At 39.9% G+C, this 23234-nt stretch overlaps 1 protein-coding gene across 8 annotated transcripts in view; it reads right to left on the bottom strand.

Moving 5' to 3' along the window:
• Window positions 1-23234, bottom strand: part of NR1H4 (nuclear receptor subfamily 1 group H member 4) — a 90549-nt gene that overhangs the window by 61281 nt on the left and 6034 nt on the right. For 5 of the 8 annotated variants that reach the window (NR_135146.2, NM_001206979.2, NM_005123.4 and 2 more), the window contains exons 2-3: window positions 10497-10631; window positions 9732-9864 (exon numbers count right to left, since the gene is read on the bottom strand). Coding sequence is in view for 7 of the 8 variants with exons in the window: in NM_001206979.2 (NP_001193908.1) it covers window positions 9732-9810 (79 nt within the window). In the remaining variant the exon portion in view is untranslated. Of the gene's footprint in view, window positions 1-9731; window positions 9865-10496; window positions 10632-10884; window positions 12090-12151; window positions 12319-23234 lie in introns of those variants that run through there. The other 3 variants (NM_001206977.2, XM_047429943.1, XM_011539040.3) reach the window with 2 other exon arrangements.

Raw genomic sequence — 23234 nt, 5'->3', positions numbered from 1 at the left:
GTCAAGTGCCATGCTCCGGGTCCTGACATTTGTCCCCATCAAAAGGTGGCAGAATGGTATGATTTAAAATGGAATGGTATGATTTAAAATGGAAGAATTTAAAGCATAATGCTTGATATGGTTTGGCTGTGTCCCAACCCAAATCTCATCTTGAATTGTAGCTCCCATAATCCCCACGTGTTGTGGGACGGATCCTGTAGGAGATAATTGAATCATGGGGTTGGTTTCCCCCACACTGTTCTCGTGGTAGTGAGTAAGTCTCACAAGATCTGATGGTTTTATAAGGGGTTTCCCCTTTTGCTTGGCTCTCATTCTGTCTTCCCTACCACCATGTAAGACATGCCTACCACCATGTAAGACAAAATCATCTAGCACAAAGCCTTTTTTGTAATAAAGAACTGAATATCTCATGCAATTTATTGAAAACTATGCTAAAAGTGTCTATTTCACACCATTGTAAAGTCTAAACATAGTAGGTTGAACCATTGTAAGATGAGGATGTATATATGTTGAAGCCTTAAACCCCAGTACCTCAGAATGTGACCTTAATTGTTGATAGGGTCATTACAGAGAAAATCAAATTAAAATGAAGATCCAATATGACTTGTATCCTTATAAAAACTGGAAATTTGGTTACAGAGACAGAAACACAGAGAGGGAAGTTGATGTGAACACACAGAGAGGAGACGGAGATGGCCATCTGTGGGCCAAGGAGAGAGCCCTGGAGCACATCCTCCACCCACAGCCTTCAGGAAGAGCTAACCCTGCTGACACCTTGATTTTGGACTTCCAGCCTCCAGAACTATGGGATAATTTCTGTGGTTTAAGCTACCCAGTCTATGTTACTTTGTTACAGCAGACCCAGCAAACTAATACATCCAGGCTGTCTTGGCACTTATTAGCTCTGTGGACAATGGACAAATTCCTGAACCATTTTCTGCCTTTATTTCCTTGGTTGTAAAATGGGGTTGATAACTATACAACCTCAAAGAATTATACGTGATTATTAACTAAAATAGTATTTATAAAATGCTTAGCACAACAGGTGGCTACCCATCATCACTACATTGATGTTATGATTGCTCAGCTTTGGACTCATGTTGTACCTTGGGTTGCTTATTGAATAGGAATAATTCTATATTTTATCCTTCAGCATAACTTTTGTACATCAAGCTTAAGTCTATTGGTTGTTTTTTAGAAATGAGGGCTTTAGAAGGGGACTCAGTTGATCCAGGGTGGAGCCCAGGCATAATGTAGCGAGATGCACTGTGTAACCTTAGATGAGTCTCTCAGCTTCTGTGGGCCCCATTTGTCCACATCAATAGATGGTAAAACATAGATAATAATTCATGCCCTATTTAGGCCTGTTCTGAAGATAAAATGAGATAGTAAATATGAAAGCAATTTTGAAAGGCAAAGGTGAGCTATACAAGTGGAATAATCATTGCTAAGACATTTCTATAGCCTTCACAAGTTTCCAAAGCGGTTCCATATGCATTATCTCATCAGATCTTCACTTGCACCCTTGGAGGGAGGTATTATTTCTAACTTCCACTATCTTTAAGCCTATTTTTAAACTCAGTGAGTTTCAGTGATTTGTCTATAGTCATCCCATTAGTAAGGAATGAAGCTGGGACTTTAACCCAGGTCTTCTGACTCAAAATCCCGTGGTGGAAAAACTAAGGTACACTTGCCCTAATTGCCAAGAAAGAGGAAAAGAGTGGTGGTCTATGGGTATATTTCAGTTTGAATTGCTTGATCGGGGTCACCATCTGCAAAGCCATTTTCAGTCCTCAGTTTACTTCTGACCTCGTTCTCCCTTCCTCACAATCCCAGAGCTATCCTTTCCCTGAGAGGGTCATAGGTGAAAAAGCTACCCAAAGGATATGAAGCTAGACGAATGATTCAGAATTTTCCATTTCAAGAATTCTCCACTAAGTTTTTCACTGGCCAAAATAAATGGACCTGTCGGTTGCCCTCAGAAACATCTATACTAGATAAGAAATGAGCAGGATTATTTAGCTGACCCAGGAAACCCTTGTTGCTGAGTGAAATTCACACAGAATGTTCTCATAACAAGACTGATTGGATCCCTTTGAATTTCTCTTAGAGATGATCAACTGTCTCATATTATTTTTTCCCTAAAAAAATATTTTTTCCTGAATATCTCTGCTGTCTAAAACAGTAGCCACTAGCTATGTATGGCTATTTATTAGTCTCTTTTCACACTGCTATGAAGAACTATCCAAGACTGGGCAATTTATGAAGAAAAAAGGTTTAATTGACTCACAGTTCTGCATGGCTGGGGAAGTCTCAGGAAACTTATAATCGTGGTAGAAGGTGAAAGGGCAGCAAAGCATGTCCTCAAAAGGCAGCAGGAGAGAGAGTAGGAAGGGAGAAGCACCAGATACTTATCAAACAACAAGATCTCATGAGAACTCACTCACTATCATGAGAACAGCATGGGGAAACCACCCCCATGATCCAATCACCTGTCACCAAGTCTCTCCCTCAACATGTGGGGATTATAATTTGAGATGAGATTTGGGTGGGGACACAGAGCCCAACCATATCAGGCTATTTAAATTAAATTGATTTAAATTAAATTAGAGTCAGTTCCTCAGTCACACCAGTCACATTTTAAGTGTTCAATAACCACATGCGAATAGTGGCTACTGTATTGGACGAAGTAGAGCTAGAACATTTCCTTCGTCACAGAAAGTTCTATCTGATGGCACTGTTCGGCAGAGTATTTGGGAGCACTGTGAATGTTGTACCTCTCACGCTGAGTGGGGCATCAGCTATGAAGGCATGAAAAAAGGGAGGTCCTAGAGTAAATGTTGGCAATGTTTTTTTTCTGAGAACTATCCTTCAGAACAGACATGGTCAGCAGACTTTAAAGGTAGATAATCTTATTGAAAGACCTTCCCAGTTGACAAGGTTAATAGAAGTATTCTCTAAGCCTGGAGACTTAAACATTGGATTTTGTTTCCTTGTCCTGATTATATTTCAGTTGCCTACTTACTAATTATGGAATGTTTAGCAGATTATTTAACATCACTAAATATTCCTTTTCTCACCATAAAAGGGGAACAGTAATGGTACCTACCTTATAGGTGTGTTGTGAGAGTGAATTTTAGTGGCAAATAGAGTACTTGTGATGTGCCAGGCATTCTTCTTATCACCTTATTTAAATAAGGCAAGTAACTTGTGCAAAGTTAAGGAATTTGTCCAAGACCACAGGGTAGTAGATGGCAGAGATTGGAACCAACCCAGGAAATCTGTTAACAAATCTAAAATGTACTTAGCTTGATATCTGACACATTAATTTCTATAAAGCACTCAAGAAATACTAGCTGTTATCATTACAATTATTTTTATTGTTGTAAGTTAATATATTTGCAATATGATTTTATAGTCAATCTTTTTTAACTTGGCATCCCTAAGAATCTGTTTCTTAGCCTGCAGGGTTGAGAGCTAAGGCCTAGACTGCAGTGGAATCGCCTACCAGCTGGCCAACTCTCTGACTCATTGCACACCTTTTCCAAACTCTGCAAGCCCCTGCTGAAAGAATCAGTAATCTATTTTGTAATAAGAAGAGGCTCATTCAATATTTCTTTCCTTCTCCCATTTCTTTACTCCACTATCAAGAGAACCAGAACTGAGATTCCTTGAGAAAGAAAAAACCAAAGTAACAGTAAATTAAATGCCTTAGAGACTGCTTACAGCTATGGAAGAGCTGTGGAGAAGAAATAGCAGTGACAAAATATTTCAAGTATGCTGAAACAAAGCTTCATTTTATCTGAGACAATGGTATCTCTCTATCTTTTGGAAACTTTGAACTTTAATTCACCCAAGAAGTCAGAACTACGTTCACTTGAGTTGAACTCAGTGAGATGGAAAAATACCTGAAATCAAATGTCAGAAATATTCTACAAACTGCATCTCAAAACCTTTAATTGCATTTTAAAACATCTGACTGACTCTGTAACATCTGGAAGATTCGTTCAATTTAAGCATAAGTCATAGGGAAGAAGCAGATTTCAAAGTGAGTGTATTCTGATACAAATAAAGCATGAAGAGGCTGAGGAGGGAGGATTGCTTGGGCCCAGTAGTTCAAGGCTGCAGTGAGCTCTGATTGTGCCACTGCACTCCAGCCTGGGTGACAGAGCAAGGCCCTTTCTCTATAAAAATAAAAATAAAGAAATAAAGCGCACCCTAAGAAAATGGGCATACACAGCTAAGTGAAGCATAAGGCAATGAGAAATAGCCAAAGGAAATGAAAGATAAGTGAATGGGATTGTATAGGATCTACCTCCTGACACTTGCTAGGCCTCAATCAGAATGGGGCTCCGGAAAGACTGTTAGATACAATAATAAAAGCAATACAAGACGTGGATTCCAAAGCTGTTGTTAGCAATGTAATAATGCAAAGGTGAGGTAACCAGAAATTTATTTACATATTGTTTGTTTTTGTTTTTTGGTGTTTTTTTCTTGTTTTGTTTGTTTGGTTTTTTTTTTGGAGACTGAGGCTCACTCTGTCGCCCATCTCATTGTAACCTCCGCCTCCTGGGTTCAAGCGATTCTCCTGCCTCAGCCTCCCGAGTAGCTGGGATTACAGGCACGTGCCACCACGCCCAGCTAATTTTGTATATTTAGTAGAGACGAGGTTTCACCACGTTAGCCAGTCTGGTCTCAAACTCCTGACCTCTGGTGATCCGCCTGCCTTGGCCTTCCAATGTGCTGGGATTACAGGCATGAGCCCCCGCGCCCAGCCTTATTTACGTATTGTTGATTCTCTCTGGCCCCTTGAAAGTTCTTTGCACTCCACAATGTTGAGATAAACAGTACTTCCTTCTTTTAATGAGTGGAATGGTGTTTATCATTTCAACAATTTAAAATATGACAACTACATTTCAAACTCTGGATTAATTGTAACATTTTAGGATGCCTTGCAGCTTACAGAGCGCTTTCCCACACAGCCCATTCCTTCCTCCCAACAACCTGTGAAGTGTGACATTATTATCCTCATTTTATGTGGGTAAAAACTGAAGTTCAGAGAATCTCACTTGCCTCTGAGATTTCATTTCCCGCTATTTTATTCCTTATTTCCATTCCCAGTGTCACTGTGCTAAGTGAATCAGGAATCACTGTGCCCAGGAACATTGGGTGTGGGAGGATAAGACTGTATTTTCTCTTGCTTCTTCTCTTATTGTTGGAATGCTTTGTCTCTTTAGTCTCTAAATTTTTGTAATTTTTGAGTTTTAAAAACATAATTTGCTAAAAGTAAATATAGACTTTAGTTAATATACCATCTCCTGTTTTATTCACTATGTCAGATGGTGGGGAGCTGTGGACTTTGTCATTATTACTTTTTATTATGCACTAATTGCATAAAACTTTGCCTTATTCATTCATCAGAGACGCCTTTTTTAATCCACTAAATTAATCTTTGACCAAGCTTCCTGGCTTGCAGGATCTCCCAGAGGAAAGGAGACGAATCTCTGTGTGGTAACTGTGTCCTTCCACCCCCAGGCCTCTACGTGGATTCAGTTACCGACGGGCTAGATTTCCGTCTGGATTTGTCAGGGATGTCTGGCAACAGAATAAATTAAAGGACTTCAGGGAGGTGATTCCAACCCCCATCTCTCTGATTCCATTCTGTCCAAGTTTCTTTTCTTCTTTTTCTGGTGGAGCTGTCACATCCCTTCAGCCCGTCTCTGATCTCGGCCATACCTGTGGCAGCTGATCATACACGAGCTCAGATGATGACTGCAGGCTGACCACCTGTCATTTCAAGAGCATGCCGCACGTTCCTATGCTTTCTGCCCAGAACTTCTCTAATCCCACAGGAGACAGCTTGGCCTGAGCTCAAAAACAGTCCAGAAGTGCGGGGAATTAATGCCCCCTGGGGTGACGCTCAACCAACGGGAGCCGAGGGGCAGTTAATATTAATATATGCTCCAGTCCCTGACCCCTCTGCTGACAGTTCTCTGTGCTGCTCCCAGTGGCATCAAGCTGGCCTCCCCCACACCAGGGATCTTGACAACTGACCTCTTTGGTTTTCCCTCCTTCCCTGTTGCATCGCCCACTCCCTCGCCTCCACTCCCTCATCATGTCTCACATAAACTGCCTTCACACAAGTCCTCATTTGGGCTCTGCTTTTTGGAATAAACATTACAGGGGTGAAGAAATTTCCCCTTCACCTTAAGCAAAGCCTTTGAAGAGTAAGGGGCCCATGGTCACCTCTAGAAGAAGCTGCAAGTTATCACTGAAAAGGTCATTATTGTCTCCAGGACCCAGTAGTGAGTGCTTGTCTGTATTTGTCTTCAGGTCACCTTCTAAATGCCTTAAAGTTGTCATTGAATTATGACCTTTATAATAACCTGCAGTGAAGGGGACCATGCCCAGGACCACCTTAAAAGGACTTGTTGAGCCGTGTACCAAGTGAGTACCATTAAGTCACCACTTCCTGACGTGGACAACAGTAGCATTTTTGTGGACTCAAATGTTTAATTTGAGTAAATGTCCTAGAATTCCCAGCCTGATAATCTACTTTTACCAACTGAACTTGAGTGAGCTGTTCAAGGCTGCACAGCTGGTTAATGGGAAAGCAGTTGTCCACCCCTAAATAAAAATGAGTAGAAGACAAGGTCCTTCTGAGTCCATTCCAGACTTTGGGCCGTTGCACTTGTTATTGTCTCCTCCCGGAATGTTCTCTCTGGCTTCTTGTCTTTCAGGCTGTGCTCAATTGTGGACTCCTCAGGGGCCTTTCCTGACTATACCACTTAGAGCAGCCCATCACTCCAGGCTATAGGGCATCACCCTATTTTGTTGCCTTCATAGCATGTATCACTACCTTGGGCATCTGTAGGTCCAAATAAGGTATAAAAATAATATTATTTTGTTTATTGATTTACTTACAAGTTTATTGTGAGTTTGCTTTCTACTAGGATCTTGCCTGTCCTATTCTCTGCTTTATTCCAAGGCCCAGCGTATTGTCAGTGTCCGATATTTGAAGAGAAGAAGTGACAGCTATCCATAGACTATTCCATTAACCTTGTTTGCCTTTATTATAACAACATGACTGCTGTTTTCAATACACAGTTAACCACTGGAAAAGAGTCCAGCTTTCTGGGCAGTTGAACCCATGGATTAACCCTTCTGAACCCCTGGCGTAGCTTAGACTCAGGAGTACTGAGTTAGGCCTGTGGGCTACTCATTCATGGGCCAGTCTTTTCCCTGGTGCCTTCCACCCTACGCACATGAAGGGGCCATAGAAGCCATCAATGTCATCATGACACACAAGAAGATGAGGAAGAGGAATAAAGGAATCAAAATTTTCTTCGTCCTCCCCTTTGGCATACCTTTAGCTCAGGTATGTTTTTTTTTTGTTTGTTTTTCTTGAGTTGGAGCCTCACTCTGTCACCAGGCTGGAGTGCAGTGGCGCGATCTCGACTCACTGCAACCTCTGCCCTGGTTCAAGCGATTCTCCTGCCTCAGTTCTCTTGAGTAGCTGGGATTATAGGCATGCACCACCACACCAAGCTAATTTTTGTATTTTTAGTAGAGACAGGGTTTAACCATGTTGGCCAGGATGATCTTGATCTCCTGACCTCGTGATCCACCTCCCTCAGCCTCCCAAAGTGCTGGAATTACAGGTGTGAGCCACTATGCCCAGCCTAGCTCAGATGTGTTAAGTGAAGTGAGACTGAGGGCCTAGGGGAAAGAGATTTGAAAATAATGCTTAGACGTGGCTCTACAGCTTAGTGGAGAAAAGGAAAAGGAGTCCTAATGGTCACACATGGTCAGATTAGTTTACCAGAAGAGGGGACCAGATAAAGAGTTGAGGAAACTGCTCCAGCAAAGAATTACAGCTCTGCATTGCAGCTCATGCAGCTTGTGCTATATATTCTCAGAAACCTTAAATGCAGTGTTAGGAAATGGAATAAGAATGTGGTCCAGCAAAAGAGAGAGAGGAGAGAACCACACCATAAAAGCAGAAGGCACAGTGCTTCCTTAGCAATCATCTTTAGATGCTTCTAACCTGACGGCATCTTCGTGGCTTTTTCTGAATTTACTGGCATCTTTTTCACCTTATGGCTGCTGAAATCACCCTGAAATCTTCTGTGCTGGCTGAAAATTGGGCTAGCTTGTAAGGAAAACCCTACAATTTTCTCTCTGTATGCAAATTGGAGCTGAATAGATTGGTTTAGTAATGATGAAGCCTAAGCTCAGAGATCTCAACCTACAATCATAAAATTTTACAGCAGGAAATGGAAGTTTCTGTTTGAAAAAAAATCTTGAGTGCAATTTTTCTTTATCTGTGGTATGTGCCAATAGTCCTAATTATTCTGTGAGTTCTGATTGCTAGAAGAAAAAATCATTAAGATGTCTATACATTGACTCTGTTCTGAGGAACCACGGAAGGGCAGGCAGGCCAGAAGCAAATGGTCAAGTGGCTAGACATGGAGGCAGGGCCTCCCACTGCCCTTGACTGCATCTACAGGATGAAGATAAGCCAACTGGAAGAAATAAGATGCAGCAAGTACTTGGGAGAACTGGCATTTAATAAATAATTACTGCCGCCTTTGGTCTCTCTAAGAGTTACGGATCAACATCTGTTTTTTCCATAAACCTCTTTTTCTTTTCCCTTCTATTATTTATTACTGGACTCTTATTTATCAAGTGCCTACTAAATATGCACTGGATAATAAAATATTAATGAAATATGGTCACTGCCCTTAAATGCATTTGTACTGTATGGAGGCAGGTACACATGTAAATAATTATTACAAATAATGACCCCTTTTTGGAAATGGCCTAATCAACTATTACACACTAAAGTGCTAATGACTAATAGGTAACAGAACAAATTATTAATTAACAGGTCCTAGGAATATCAGCAACCAAATAAGCGGTCATGCCTTCATACATTGAACTTTGAGGAACTTCTAGTGTTTGCATTTTCACTATTATGGTATATCATGGCCCATATATTAACGGAGGGTGAAAACTGGGAGCATCCCAGGCTGCCAGCAGGGCTATTATGCAGAAGGGAATTATTTTAACACTGGCAGAAAGGCTCCCTGTCCCACCCAAAATATTGCCTTGGTTAAATCTTTGTTAATGTTTGCAGTTGAAACTCTTTATAATGAGATGTTTTTCATAAATGCATAAAGTGGAGCAATATATCATTTTATGGTATCATCTAGTTACAGATCTACTGAAAACTGCTTAGTACAATTTGTCCTCAATCCTGCTTAAATGACTAATCCTGACACTGTGCCATAGATCCCCCAGCACCGGAGGAACTGCAAAAGGAAATCTGCCCAGCTATAACCTAAGTAAACTCAGCCTTTAATAGGTGTCATATTAAGCCATAAGAATCATGATTTCATAGTTTAGTACCTGCTATAATAATATTGGAATTAGCCTTAGAGGAGGAATCGCTTTCTACTCCCTGCTCTGTTAATTATCTAGCCTCGCGGCCTTGAGCAATTCACAAAGCTTTTGCAGTCCTCATCTATAAAAATGAAGACCATTAAGTCCCATGAATCCAAGGTCCGATCTACCTCTAACCTTGCAGAGTAGCTAACATTGATTGAGTACTTGGAAGGAACAAAAACATGTTCTTGACCCTGGGCTGGACTCATCATCTAGGCATTTCCTCATGTATTTCCAAATCGTAGTTTGTTCTTATTGATATTCAAATGAACTTGACAACTTACCAAATAAATTTTCAGAAAAAGAAAATTCATCTGTGGTAGGTAAATGGGAATGTTCAATGAGATTCATTTTTGATCCCATCCAAATTTTTCAATTGAAATGCACTTTCTTTATGGTGGTCTTCAAAAAAAACTCCTGAAAGGAAAATAAATAGTTTGTGACTGTGGGAATGCGGGAAGGGTTGGTTAGGAGAGCTGGGGAAGGAGACAGCGAGATAGTTTACGAAAGTACAAATGGCTCCCTTTGAATGCATTTTACTATAGCCTTTCTGTATGTATCTTTTCTCAATATTTATCATTTTTATACCTCATTTGGACCTAAAAATGCCCAAGATACGTGCTTGCATAAAAGATACTAATTTATCTGAAAAAAACACCGTATGTTTTCATTCAAATTTCAGCCCTTGGGAGATTTGGGCAAGATATGATGACATTTTGACTATGTCTTTATTAGAAAAAAAAACAAATATAAAAGGCCTTGATTTAAAATGAGATGAATCCATGATTTATTATCTTAAACTTTATTCTAAAGTTGAATAGGTTTTTATAAACATTAATAGTGATTTAAAGCCACTTCCTACTGGAATTTTTTTTGACTATTTAGGCATTATGTCAGCAGATCAGAAAATCAGAGATATTCCTTGTATCTGCCTTTTAGAGGAAATTTCAGGGGCTTTCATTTTCACTGTCATGATCTACCTTGGTCATGTATTGATCCGGGGCTTTTTAAAAAGATATAGTAAGAAGAAAAATAATGGTAAATCTCACCAAAGTGTCTGAAGTTTCATCTTGAGGAAATGTCCAGAAGAAATCCAGGAAACTAAGAGAAGCAGTGTTCACTTTGAGCTATGTTTCTAAGTCTTCTTTTCTTCTTTCACTCCTTCTACGATGTCTTCTACCTCCCTAAAGAAGTAATTTGAAAGGTTAAATAATGAAAAGTGATAATGTGTGCTGTCAGAATCTCTTTTCCCAAGCTGTTTTCTGAGGATGATTTTCAAACCTTTTTTTTCTGTCTCCACCAAGGTATGACTTTATTTACAAATAAATAGCTGTCTATATTTGCTGCCCAGGAAGAGGATATAGTGGGTTTTTTGGATAAGTATGTATTTCATTAGGATTTCCCCATTATTCGTATCTCTCTTTCTCTCTCACTCACCAAATGTCCTAGCTCAAACAGAAGTGAGTTTCAGGTGCACTTGGCTGCTGGGAAAGTCGTCCACCAGAAACCTGTTTCCTTCATTTATTCATTTATTCAATGCTTGCAACAAATATTCAGTGAGCACATATTCTGCACTAAACTCTGTGCTAGATATTTGAAGATAAAATGGCAAAAGGAAAATAAACATTCATGATCCATGATATCAAGCTTAATTAGGAATAAATATTAAATAATCACCCAAATACATAGATAATTATATATTGTCATGAAAGCTGTTTATGAAGGCAAATAACAGGATGCTGTAATAGAGAGGTTTGGATGTGAAGAGATAGAGAGTCAAGAGATAGAGAAGTAGCGGAGGGAGGATGTAGTTTCAAGGGCAATTTTTAAAGATGGGCGATACTAGAGCAATCTGCATTGATGGGAAGACAACAGAGAAGAACCACATGAAGAAGCAAGAATGAGGGAGAGTCTTCTGAGAAGAGACACAAACTGTGTCCACTGTGGGTTCCAGGCATATCTGGGTCCATCTGGTAAACCCACGGCATAGCCCATCAAATTCCACCAAGCCCTACTGCCAAACTCTACTATCCATTAATATAAGCGGCTTGGTGGGAGAAAATCCATTCTAAACTCATAGAGAGCTAGGGACCATGAACTTCACCCCAAAGGAAAGCCTTAGCCATTAGAGACATATGTAATTTTCAGTGTAGCTGTGTTTGACCAACCCATACTAGATTCAGGAGACCTTCCTACCACCCAGAGGTGAGAAGAAAAGGGTTGTAAATAAAAATGAAGTCTGGAAACATTGAGGTATAAGGCAGATCCGTCCAATGCAACAAGCAGAAGAGAGAGAGAACTCACTTCAACCTCACCCTCATCCTCAAACAACTATGCCATATATCACAGTGGAACTCCGAACCCAAGAGGGCTGGGCAGCAGAGGTGCCCAGCAGAGGAATCATGACTACTGGTTGGGCACTGCTCTGCCCCATGGACACAAAATGGAGTGGAAGGAACAGCCAGAGCAGACTTAGTTATAAACATGAAGAGACCCCAAGGCACTCCTGAAATAACTGGGGTGTTGTCGGGGAGGGAGGCTCTGATAGGAGCGGGAGGTCCTGAAGAGTAAGCCAGTAAAAGTTGAGTTTCTGGCTAGGCACAGTGGCTACTGCCTGTAATCCCATCACTTTGGAAGGCCAAGGCAGGAGAATCACTCAAGCCCAAGAGTTCGAGACCAGCCTGGGCAACATGACAAAACTCACCTCTAATAAAAATTTAAAAATTAGCTGGGCATGGTGATGCACACCTGTAGTCCCAGCCAAGCTACTTGGGAAGTTGAAGCAGGAGGATCACTTGAGCCTGGGAGGTCGAGGCTGCAGTGAACTCTGATCATGCCACTGCATTCCAGCCTGGACGACAGAGCTAAAGTCTCAAAAGAAAAATGTTGAGTTGTTGTTATTAACAGGACCTCATTCATACTCATAAGCTAGTTGAGGACTAGGGAAATTCAAATTTCAGCATGTACATATCAATTGTATAAGGATATATATAATGTGTATATATGAATACATATATGAATCATGATACTAAATATGTATATGTGTCTGTATATTGTATAATAAATGGGCTTAAATACCCCACTCCCCATCAAAATTTAGGCAATTATTGTTCTAGAGTTTCTCCTATCTTGGGAATAGGAAATTCCACAATTTCCCATAATAATATTTTCCAGGAACCCACAATGTGAACGGTCAGAAAGTTTTCCTAATATTCAACCCAAGCTTATACTCTGTAACTTAAGGCCCATTTCCTCTGGTCTTTAAAAATAGGATATTACAGCTCTGTGACTCTGACTTCAGGTTTCCCTCTGTGCTCTCCTTGTCTCACATCTGTCTTTTTTAACCTTGAGCCATGTTCAGCAAGCTCCCCCGTACTTCCACTGCACATTACAGTTTTTTAATATTTTCCAGGCACACTCATCTTCATTTTGGATTCCTGTGATATATTTTCTTCAATACATTCATATAAACTTGGCACCTTCAAATTAAGGGCCTGGCATACAGTCAGCCCTCAAGAAATGTTGGCTCTATTAAATTATCTGCATTTATTGTTTTTCTTGCTTAGTTCTGCCAAATTCTATGACATTTGACTTGCTCTTCCTGGAGAAATGTTATAAGCCCTATTGGCACAAAAGCTTAGGACATAATTTATCACTTGCTCTCCCAAATGAAAAGTCCAGTTCCCCTAATTCTGCATCATTTAAGTTATTATCCCTGATTGGAGACCTACCATGTGAATGCCCCTGATTAGCTAACAGCAGAACTCTCTAGAATCCAGATAGTTAGCAGGGTCCACTCAAGTCAGATTCATTGGGTTTACAATTCCCGAATGGGCTTTAAAAAAAAAGAAACTAAATTTTTGAAATAGTAACACAAGCACATGGTAAACAATTCAAACAGTATACTGAAAAAAAGTCTTCCCAGCTTAGACACCCATTTTCCTTACCTAAATACAATTACAATTGCTAATTCTTTGTGTATCCTTCCAGAATATTGTTCTCACTCTTCAGTATAAAAGGGCCTTCAAATACTGTATCTAAAAACAGAGTTGGTAAACTATTGCCTGCAGGCCAAATCCGGTCGGCTGCCTGTTTTTGTGTAGCCTGTGAGCTTAGAATGGTTTTACATTTTCAGATGGTTAAAAAAAACAAAAGAAGAATATTTTATGACACATGGAAATTATATGAAATTCATATTCAGTGCCTATAAATAGTTTAATGGTACTCAGCCACAGCCACTTGTTTATGGAATATCTATGGCTCTTTTCTCCCTGCAGTAGCAGAGTTGAGTACAGTAGTTGCAACACAAGACTGCACGGTTCAGAAACCCAAAAATATTTACTATCTAGCCTTTTACACAAAAAGTATGTTAATCCCTGCCTGAAACAAAGAACAGAAGGGATTCAAACAATCAAAGTAGTGTTAGAGGTAAACTATGAATAAATGTAAAGATTACCTTGGGGATATAAACCCACTTAATTAAATACATCTCATAATAGTCAGATTTTCTTTACCTCTTAACAGCTTCTTACTGGGATTAGCAACTTTAGCCTATTTGCCAAGAGTTTCCATATACATTATTTGTCTAATTACGGTTACTTTGGTGCTCTTCTTTCTCTAATACTCTTCACTTTCATTTTGGGGAAGGAACTGCAAAAGAAGAACTCCCAGGAGACCCTTGACTTTAGCTCTATAGTCTTTTTTCCTTCAAATCCTCCCTTCCATAAAAGGAGTCATGTTATAGGTTGAGAATTTTAACCTTTGAAAGACCCTTGAAAAACAATATGCTCCTTCAACACACTTTTTGGGTTGACATCTAATGTCTTTCACTAAAAAATAAAATAGTTGCAAGTAATATAATTTCTGATGTATTATAAAAATTGACATTTTTACATGTTGTTGCATTACTTTTAAATAATTCGATTAAATCTAAATATCACAGCAACTTTTTACCCTCCCTTATCCTTTTAAGAAATAGATGAAGTTATTCTTTAACAGCTGGAAACTTTTTAATCATTCCTGTTCTTCCTCAAGTTTACATTTCATTCCATTCCACTTCATGGCAGAATTTTATCCTAAGGTAGCATATGTCTACACGTGAGAGTCTGTTATTGGTCATTTTATCATATTTTCTGCCACTAAAATATGTATATAAATTTGAATTTTTTTAATTTCTAATGACTTTAAGATTTTAAACATTTTTTTAAAATTTCAGGATTTACTTTATGACTAGCTATTATGAGTACCCATTTACTCAAAACTATGCCTTGTCCATGAGACTGTCTCTACAAATGGGGCAGCTCATTTTCCATGCCAAAAGGCACAAGTAGAGAAAGCAGTCTATTGTGGAAGAGAGAACACCAGATCAGAAAGAAAAACAACATTATGGCCGGATGCAGTGGCTCACGCCTGTAATCCCAGCACTTTGGGAGGCTGAGGTGGGCGGATTACTTGAGGTCGGGAGTTCAAGACCAGCCTGGCCAACATGAGGAATCTCATCTCTAATAAAAATACAAAAATTAACCAGGCATGGTGGCACAGGCTTGTAATCCCAGCTACTCGAGAGGCTGAGGCAGGAGAATCACTTGAACTCGGGAGGCAGAAGTTGCAGTGACCCAAAATTGCACCACTGCACTAACCTGGGAAACAGAGTGAGATTCCATCTCAAAAAGAAAAGAAAGAAAGGAAAACAACATTGTCAGGTGATAGCCATGGTCAACAGCTGGCAGAACACATGAAGTAGAGGAAGCAAATCTCCTTAGAAATGCAGCTAAAGGCCAGACATAGTGGTTCACACCTGTAATCCCAACACTTTGGGAGGCTGAGACAGGCGGATCACTTGAGGTCAGGAGTTTGAGACCAGCCTGGTCAACATGGTGAAACCCCGTCTTTACTAAAAATATAAAAATTAGCCAGGCGTGGTGGCAGGTGCCTGTAATCCAAGCTACTCAGGAGGCTGAGGCAGGAGAATCATTTGAACCTGGGAGGCAGAGGTTGCAGTAACTCGAGATCACGCCACTGCACTCCAGCACTCCAGCACTCCAGCCTGGGCAACAGAGTGAGACTCGTCTCAAAAAAAAAAAAAAAAAAAGAAGAAGAAGAAGAATCAGAGCAGGTAAAGAAAAGAAAAAGATCTGATTTGAACATGATCACTTCCCTACCTTCCCCCTGACTCCCCCATTCCCCACCCCTGTCCTGGAAGAGGGATAGGGTGGATGCAGGATAGATTAGCCAGCTGCCCCCTCTGTTAGCCTAATCAGTCTCAATTAATAGTTTGTTAACTTAATAAAACCCCAACTTTAAGCATTCCTTCATCCACTGTTTTTCTGAAAAGTTATTAAAATTTATTTTTAAGCTAAAGTATTTTTAAAATAAAAGGGTCATTGCAGAAAATTGAGGCAATACAGCAAAGCATAAAAAATGTCAAATTGTGTTCTATCATTTTTTTCCATTTATACTCCCACCAGCAGTAAGACTGCTTTTCTCATCATACCTTTATTAGCATCACCCACTCTCACTTTGAACAATTTTTTCTAATTTACTAGGTGACAAATCCTATCTTGTTGTATTAAATTACTCTGATTAGCAGTAATTTAAAAAACATTTCTTTACATCTATATTGGCTATGTGTGACAGTTTCCATTTTGGGTTTACTTCCTTTGCCATTTTTCTACTGAAGTGTTCCTTTTTTTATTGACTTGGCAGAGTTCTTCATACGTTGAATGTATTAGCATTCTATTATATTTACTACATGCCTTTAAATTACCTTTACCTAAAAAGTTTTGCATTGCATGTAGTTAAATATATCTGATTTTTTAAAGGTTACTTTTATTGCTTCTTATTTTTAGTTTATGGTACAAGGTGGATTTTTTTTTTTCAGAATTGCTTCTTGAGTACATTTTCCCTCACCCATTGGTTCATAGTGCTTCTTTAAGACTTTAGTTTTCCATTGATCGTGCAGTTACTTCTTGTATCAATATCATCCTTTCTTATTATCGATCATTCTCTTTCAACATTTCCTAAGATACCCTTGCTTGTTTTCTGTGATAAAATTATCATATCTTTTATCACACTCTTAAAAAGAAAAGTTTCTTTGGGAGTTTGAGACGGTGCCAAACGTAGATATTTAGGGAGAAAATCTGCTCATTTCTGATATTTAATTTTGCCTTTCAAGGGCACAGCATGTCTCCATTTGCTCAAATGTGCTCTTGCACCTCTCAGTCTTATAGATTTTTCCCCTATATGTTCCAGTTTGTTGATTGATGCTTCCTTGTCATTTTTCTCTCCCTCCTCCTTGTATAGTAATTAATGCTTTGATTTCATCTGTTTTGTCTTTACTATATCACCAGATCGTAAACTTCTAGAAGAGAGGAATCATTGCTTATATTTATTTCATATTCCCTTTGCATAGCTGGCAATGTTTTACATATGCAGAAATAATAGCTTTGGTCTAGTATAAATATCACTGGGGATGAGACATGAGGAGATTAAGGGTGGAGTGCCAGTTCTGACATTCCGTAGCTTCACGCATGACCTGGAACTACTCACTCAGCACCTCCTCCTGACACTACCACCCAGACACTCCCCTGATTGGGGATTTAAATCGAAATAATAGGGTTGCCGTAAAGCTTAAAAAGTGAATCTTTCATAGGTTTTCAAATATATGTATACAGTGACATGTACAAAAAAAGTTCACCACATTGTTTCCAATGGTAAGAAATTGGAAACAGCATAATGTCCATCAAAAAGAGAATGGATACAATAAATAAATTGCACATTCACAGGTGAATACTATACAGCAATTAAAATAATTATAATCTGAACTAAAATAAATGACTATAAAATGAACTAGCGGCTGGGCATAGTGGCTCACACCTGTAATCCCAGCACTTTGGGAGGCCGAGGTGGGCAGATCAGCTGAGGTCAGGAGTTCGAGACCAGCCTGGCCAACATGGTGAAATCCCTTCTCTACTACAAATACAAAAAATTAGCCGGGGGTGGTGACACATGCCTGTAATCCCAGCTACTCGGGAGGCTGAGGCAGGAGAATCACTTGAACCCAGGAAGTGGAGGTTGCAGTGAGCCGAGATCGCACCACTGTACTCCAGCCTGTGCAACAGAGCACTCCATCTCAAAAAAAATTAAAAAATAAAATAAAATAAAATGAACTAGAACTAGATGTATTCATATGAATAAATGGGGAAACATCATATTGAGCAAAAGAATCAGGTTGCAGAATAATACATACAGTTTGATATAAAGATATGCAAAGCAGTGCTACATATTATTACTGTTACTCTACTGCAGAGATCAGCAAACTATGACTCTCAGACCCAACCCAGCCTGCCAAGGACCAGATTTGCCCTTTTGTTTACTTGCTCTCTATGGCTCCTTTCTGAGCCACAGTACAGAGTTAAGTACTGTGGTTGCAATACAGTCCATATGGTCTGCAAAGTCTAAAATATTCAGTCTATCCTTTGTAGAAAAAGCTTGTGATCCTTGCCTTAACTGTAAAGACATGAATGAAAGTAATGAGCCCCATATTCAGAATAGAGCTGCAGAATGTGACTGGGCAGGTACATAGGGAGTTTCTATAATACCTGTAATGCTCTCCTTCTAAGTTGAGCAATAAATACAAGGAAGTTGATTATATTACTCTATTTTGTTGCATGTTGAAAATATTTCACAATGAAAAAGATTGAATGAAATTATATATGGAAAGCTTCCTATGTAAAAATACACAAGTTCATACAGGGCTTCTCTCTTTCTCACACATCCTTGCCCTTGCTACACACCATTCTTAAAGCTTTGAGGAAAAAGTAATTCCTCCCCATAAAATGTTTGGGGAACCTAACTGTGGTCAATGGGGAACTACTGGAAATTTTGAGTGGCACAATAAAATCAGTAGATATGATTACTCTAGTGAGAAGGTGGGCTGGGGAGGGGAAGCAGTAAAAGAAGGAGAAACATTCAGGAAGTTGTTGTGTGGTGACCAGAGTGCATAGCAGCGTGGCGTCAGTAGAGATGGGAAGGAAGGAACTTGTGTACAGCATACAAAAAGGAGGAGGAAGGAGAAGCAGCAGCCCCATGATACAAAGTTTAAACCTTGGGTATTGGTGAAAGGAGGGACAAAATGTTTATTTTACTTTTTGCTTATTTCTAAAATGCTGTAACCTAAGTCTTCATTTAAGGACCCAGGAATTATTTCAGAAATGGTATGCACTGTTTGTTTTTATTGTGATAAGACACATAGTTACTGGTAGCTTGGACTCCCACTTTCTGGTTATCAATATTTACTTATTTAGATACCGTGTGTCATGGGAAGTTCATGGCGTATGGAGCTCCTCTGACTTAGTATAAACCATTTGCAATCGGAGACCTTGGAAAGACACTGCTGCAATTAAATAACTTTGACTCTGATTTAGAGGAATCTTAGTGCTTGGAGGATGAAGATAAAAACCGATTACATGCACTAGTTCACTATGAACTCTACATATCAAGACATCATCCTTGGTGACATTGTCTCAAATGAACTCAGTTGTTGATAGAAAGTATACACTTTGTTGGATATCTATGTAATCCATTTTTAAAGGGCAGGAAAAAACATGAAGGTTTTCTAACCATCATCATTTTATGCTCAGAGGAAGCCTTAGATTCTGCCCAAAGGCTGGAAATACATTCTTTTTTTTTTTTTTTTTTTTCTGAGACAGAGTCTTGCTCTGTTGCCCAGGTCGGAGTGCAGTGGCACGACCTCAGTTCACTGCAATCTTCATCTCCCGGGTTCAAGTGATTCTCCTGCCTCAGCCTCCCGAGTAGTTGGGATTACAGGCATGCACCACCACACCCAGCTAATTTTTGTATTTTCAGTAGAGACAGGGTTTCACCATGTTGGCCAGACTGGTCTCAAACTCCTGACCTCAAGTGATCCACCCGCCTTGGCCTCCCAAAGTGCTGGGATTACAGGCGTGAGCCACCGCGCCTGACCTGGAAATATATTCTTAAGGAAAAAGAGAAAAGAGCTCTAGGAAAAGAAAAAACGTTTTATTTTTCCAAGTATTTGGTCTTCAAGCAGCACTCAAACTGAAGTTCTTTCCAGGACAGAAATACAGATTTAGAATAAATAGATACTTCCGAAAATCCAGAGACACGTCAAGGACAACATATGGCCAACAAGGATGGCTGCGAGCCAATATGACCATTGGACCACATCATTCTGAAGACAGTGCTCTATAAGAACCAAACAATTTTTATTACTATCTTAGTAACCACTACATAGATTTTTAGTGATAGATTAAAATAAAATTTAATATTTAAATTAACATTTTAATTAAATTTTTAATAATAGCATTCTCTGGATCATATCTATGATCAACTTATACTGATATTCAAACTAATCAACCTCAGTTTTGTTTGTGCCCATTAGCAGCAAGAAATATGACTTGTTTGTCAAGAACTATGACAGGCCAGGCACAGTGGCTCATGCCTGTAATCCCAGCACTTTGGGAGGCTGAGGTGGGTGGATCACCTGAGGTCAGGGATTTGAGACCAGCCTGGCCAACATGGTGAAACTCCATCTCTACTAAAAATACAAAAATTAGCTGGGCACGGTGGCACACGCCTGTAGTCCCAGCTACTTGGGAGGCTGAGGCAGAAGAATTGCTTGAACCCAGGAAGCAGAGGTTGCAGTGAGCCGAGATTGCGCCACTACACTCCAGTCTTGTGACAGAGTGACACTCTGTCTCAAATAAATAAATAAATAATAAAATACCTGCATCAACTAGATATCCACAGCTTTCAAAGCGTCTCTGCTCTCTGGAGCTTACACAATGGTGCCTAAACAACAGCTGACCTTTATTTCCAACTAGATGTAGAAGAAGCACCTGGAGTTGAGGCTTCCAGGACCAGGAACCTGGAAGTGAATGTCTTCTTAAATTTTGCACCCTCAGTGCCTCACTTGCCTAGCTCTAGGCCTAGCCCTGCTTCTCAACTCCTTGATTAGCACAAACTCCAGGAGACGTTCATAGCCCTGGGTACTTCTTCTTTGCAGTGGTGTTACCATTGTAATTCAACCTTTGTTTTTGTGGATTTGGTTTTCTGTGTCTCCCATTAAACCAGCAGCTCTAGGAGAGATTACATTGGATCTCCAATGCCTTGCACAATGCCAGCCAGGTACATCTTAGATGCACAATAAATTCTTGTTAATTGAGTAAATGAACAAATGGTTGCATGAATAAATAAAGTAACTAATACATAAATGAGTGAATGAATAATATACCTTACTAGATAACCACCTTTAGAATCAGTCTTGCTTAGGCCATAGGACAGAAATTAGTGAATAGAGGCATACAACACAATACACACAAGAGCCGAAGAAGGATTTTTTTTTTGTCACATAAAGAAATCTAACAACTAAGTCTGCTTCCCCACAATGTAGACTAATTAGTGAATGGTAACCATTTTTATTGGAAATCTCTTAAGCATAGGCTTTCCAGTCTCCCCATGGGAACCATTTTATACATGAGTTGACCACCCCAGGAAATTGTTTTGTTTTGTTTCAGGGTTTTTGTTGTTTGTTTGTTTGTTTTGAGACAGGGTCTCTCTCTTTCACCTGGGCTGGAATGCAGTGGTGCGATCTTAGCTCGCTGCAGTCTTGACCTCCCAGGCTCAAGCAATCCTCACACCTCAGCCTCCCAAGTAGCTGGGACTACAGGCATGCACCACTTGCCCAGCTAATTTTATTTATTTATTTATTTATTTTTATTTTTATTTTTTTGAGATGGAGTCTCGCTCTGTCACCCAGGCTGGAGTGCAGTGGTGCCATCTCGGCTCACTGCAAGCTCCGCCTCCTGGGTTCACACCATTCTCCTGCCTCAGCCTCCCGAGTAGCTGGGACTACAGGCACCCGCCACCATGCCCAGCTAATTTTTTGTATTTTTAGTAGAGATGGGGTTTCACCGTGTTAGCCAGGATGGTCTCGATCTCCTGACCTCATGATCTGCCAGCTTCGGCCTCCCAAAGTGCTGGGATTCAGGCATGAGCCACCGTGCCCAGCCCCAGCTAATTTTTTTAATTTTTTGTAGAGACAGGATTTCACCATGTTGCCCAGGCTGGTCTAGAACTCCTGAGCTCAAGCAATCTGCCCACCTCAGCCTCCCAAAGTGCTGGGATTACAGGAGTGAGCCACCATGCTGGGCCGGAAATAGTTTTAATTAATCTCGCGAATTTCCCGTTGTTAATTCTCTTCCATCAGAACTACCAGGAATAGTTTTGTTGTTGTGGTTGTTTGGTCTTCTTAATGTTCACTCTTCATAATCAGGAAAGTTTGTTTTTTCTTTTTTCGCATTATGTACATTAGTCAAAATGGTCAAGAAGCTATTTGTTGAATGCTTTCTCCGTGACTAACTTGTCATTTTTTTTTTCAAATACTTAATTGGATCTTTGAAATATTATGCCTCTTACTCATGGAAATTGTTTGCAAAGATGGCCACCACAATTGCTTCCTTTCCACACGCTCTTACAATGTGAGTTTGCCACACCTCTCATCAATGCACAAAGTCTGTTTCGCTAGCCCTTGGACCTGAGCTGGTCTAATAAATTCGTTGACCAACAGAATGTGGTGGAAGTGAGGTTGGGGACTTCTAAGCCAGGCTTTAAGAGACCTTGTAGCTTCTGTTTTCCATATCTAAGAAAGAATGCTGCCCTGAGATTGCCATACTGTTTGCAGATATCTCAGATTTAAAAATCTCATGGAGAAAGAAGTCCAGCTCTTCCAACTATCCCAGCTGACGGCCACATCAAGACCCCAGACATGAGTGAGGCCATCTCAGTCCTTTCATTCCAGTTGAACTCACATCTGAATGAGCAACATGAGTGAACCCAGGCATAACCAGCAGAGAAGCTGCTCAGCCGCCCCACAGAACTATGAGAATTAATGGATCATTCCTGTTTTATGCCACTAAGCTTTGGGATGGTTGTTACAAAGACATAAATGACTGGTATAGAAATCAGTACCTGGAAGTGAGATGCTGTCTAAAAAAACCGCTAACATATATGGCCTGGGCTTTGGGATTGGGGGATGATCTGAGGCTAGAAGGGCAGTGAGGAGACTGGTTAGTGGAAACTGGAAGAACAATAAGAAAATTCCCATAGGAGGTGGGAAGATGGGGGTCCTGTTTATAATCATGAAACAATCAGTAACACTGTCTCCTGTGGTAACTTGGAAGATAGAAATGTTTCTAAACTTATAGATCTAAGATTTCCCACTAGTACGGTGGATGTGTCAGTTGGTCTCTTTAGCTATGTGTGATAAGGTACTTACTCTTTAAAAACGGCATCTCAACATCAATTTCCCATTCATTCACTCATTTATTTTGTCAGTGCACATTTATTGACAGACACTAGACATAGTAAAAAATAATGATTTTTCAGAAAGCTTAGTGGAAAAGTCAGGCAAGAAAAACCCAATGGTAGTAGTGTGAGGATTGCTACAACAGAGCTAAGCACAGGTGCCATCAGGAGCACAAGCAGGGACATTCATTCATCCAATATTCATTAATTCTCTACTACATACCAAGTTTCGGTCTAGGTTTTAGAAATACAGTGGTAAGACAAAGAGCTTACATTCTAGAGGGATAAGTGAATAATACACAAGTCAACAAATAATAGGATTTCTGATGAGGATAATAAGAAAGTAAAAGAGAAGTATAGAGTGTTGTAGTTGAACACAGTTTTGGAGAGGGCAATCAGAGAAGAGCTCTCTGAAAAGTGGACATTCGAACTGAGATGTG

The sequence above is a fragment of the Homo sapiens genome, chromosome 12 (assembly GCF_000001405.40).
Source record: "Homo sapiens chromosome 12, GRCh38.p14 Primary Assembly".
Taxonomy (NCBI): Eukaryota; Metazoa; Chordata; class Mammalia; order Primates; family Hominidae; genus Homo; species Homo sapiens.
This window is presented reverse-complemented; position numbering and strand designations above follow the sequence as displayed.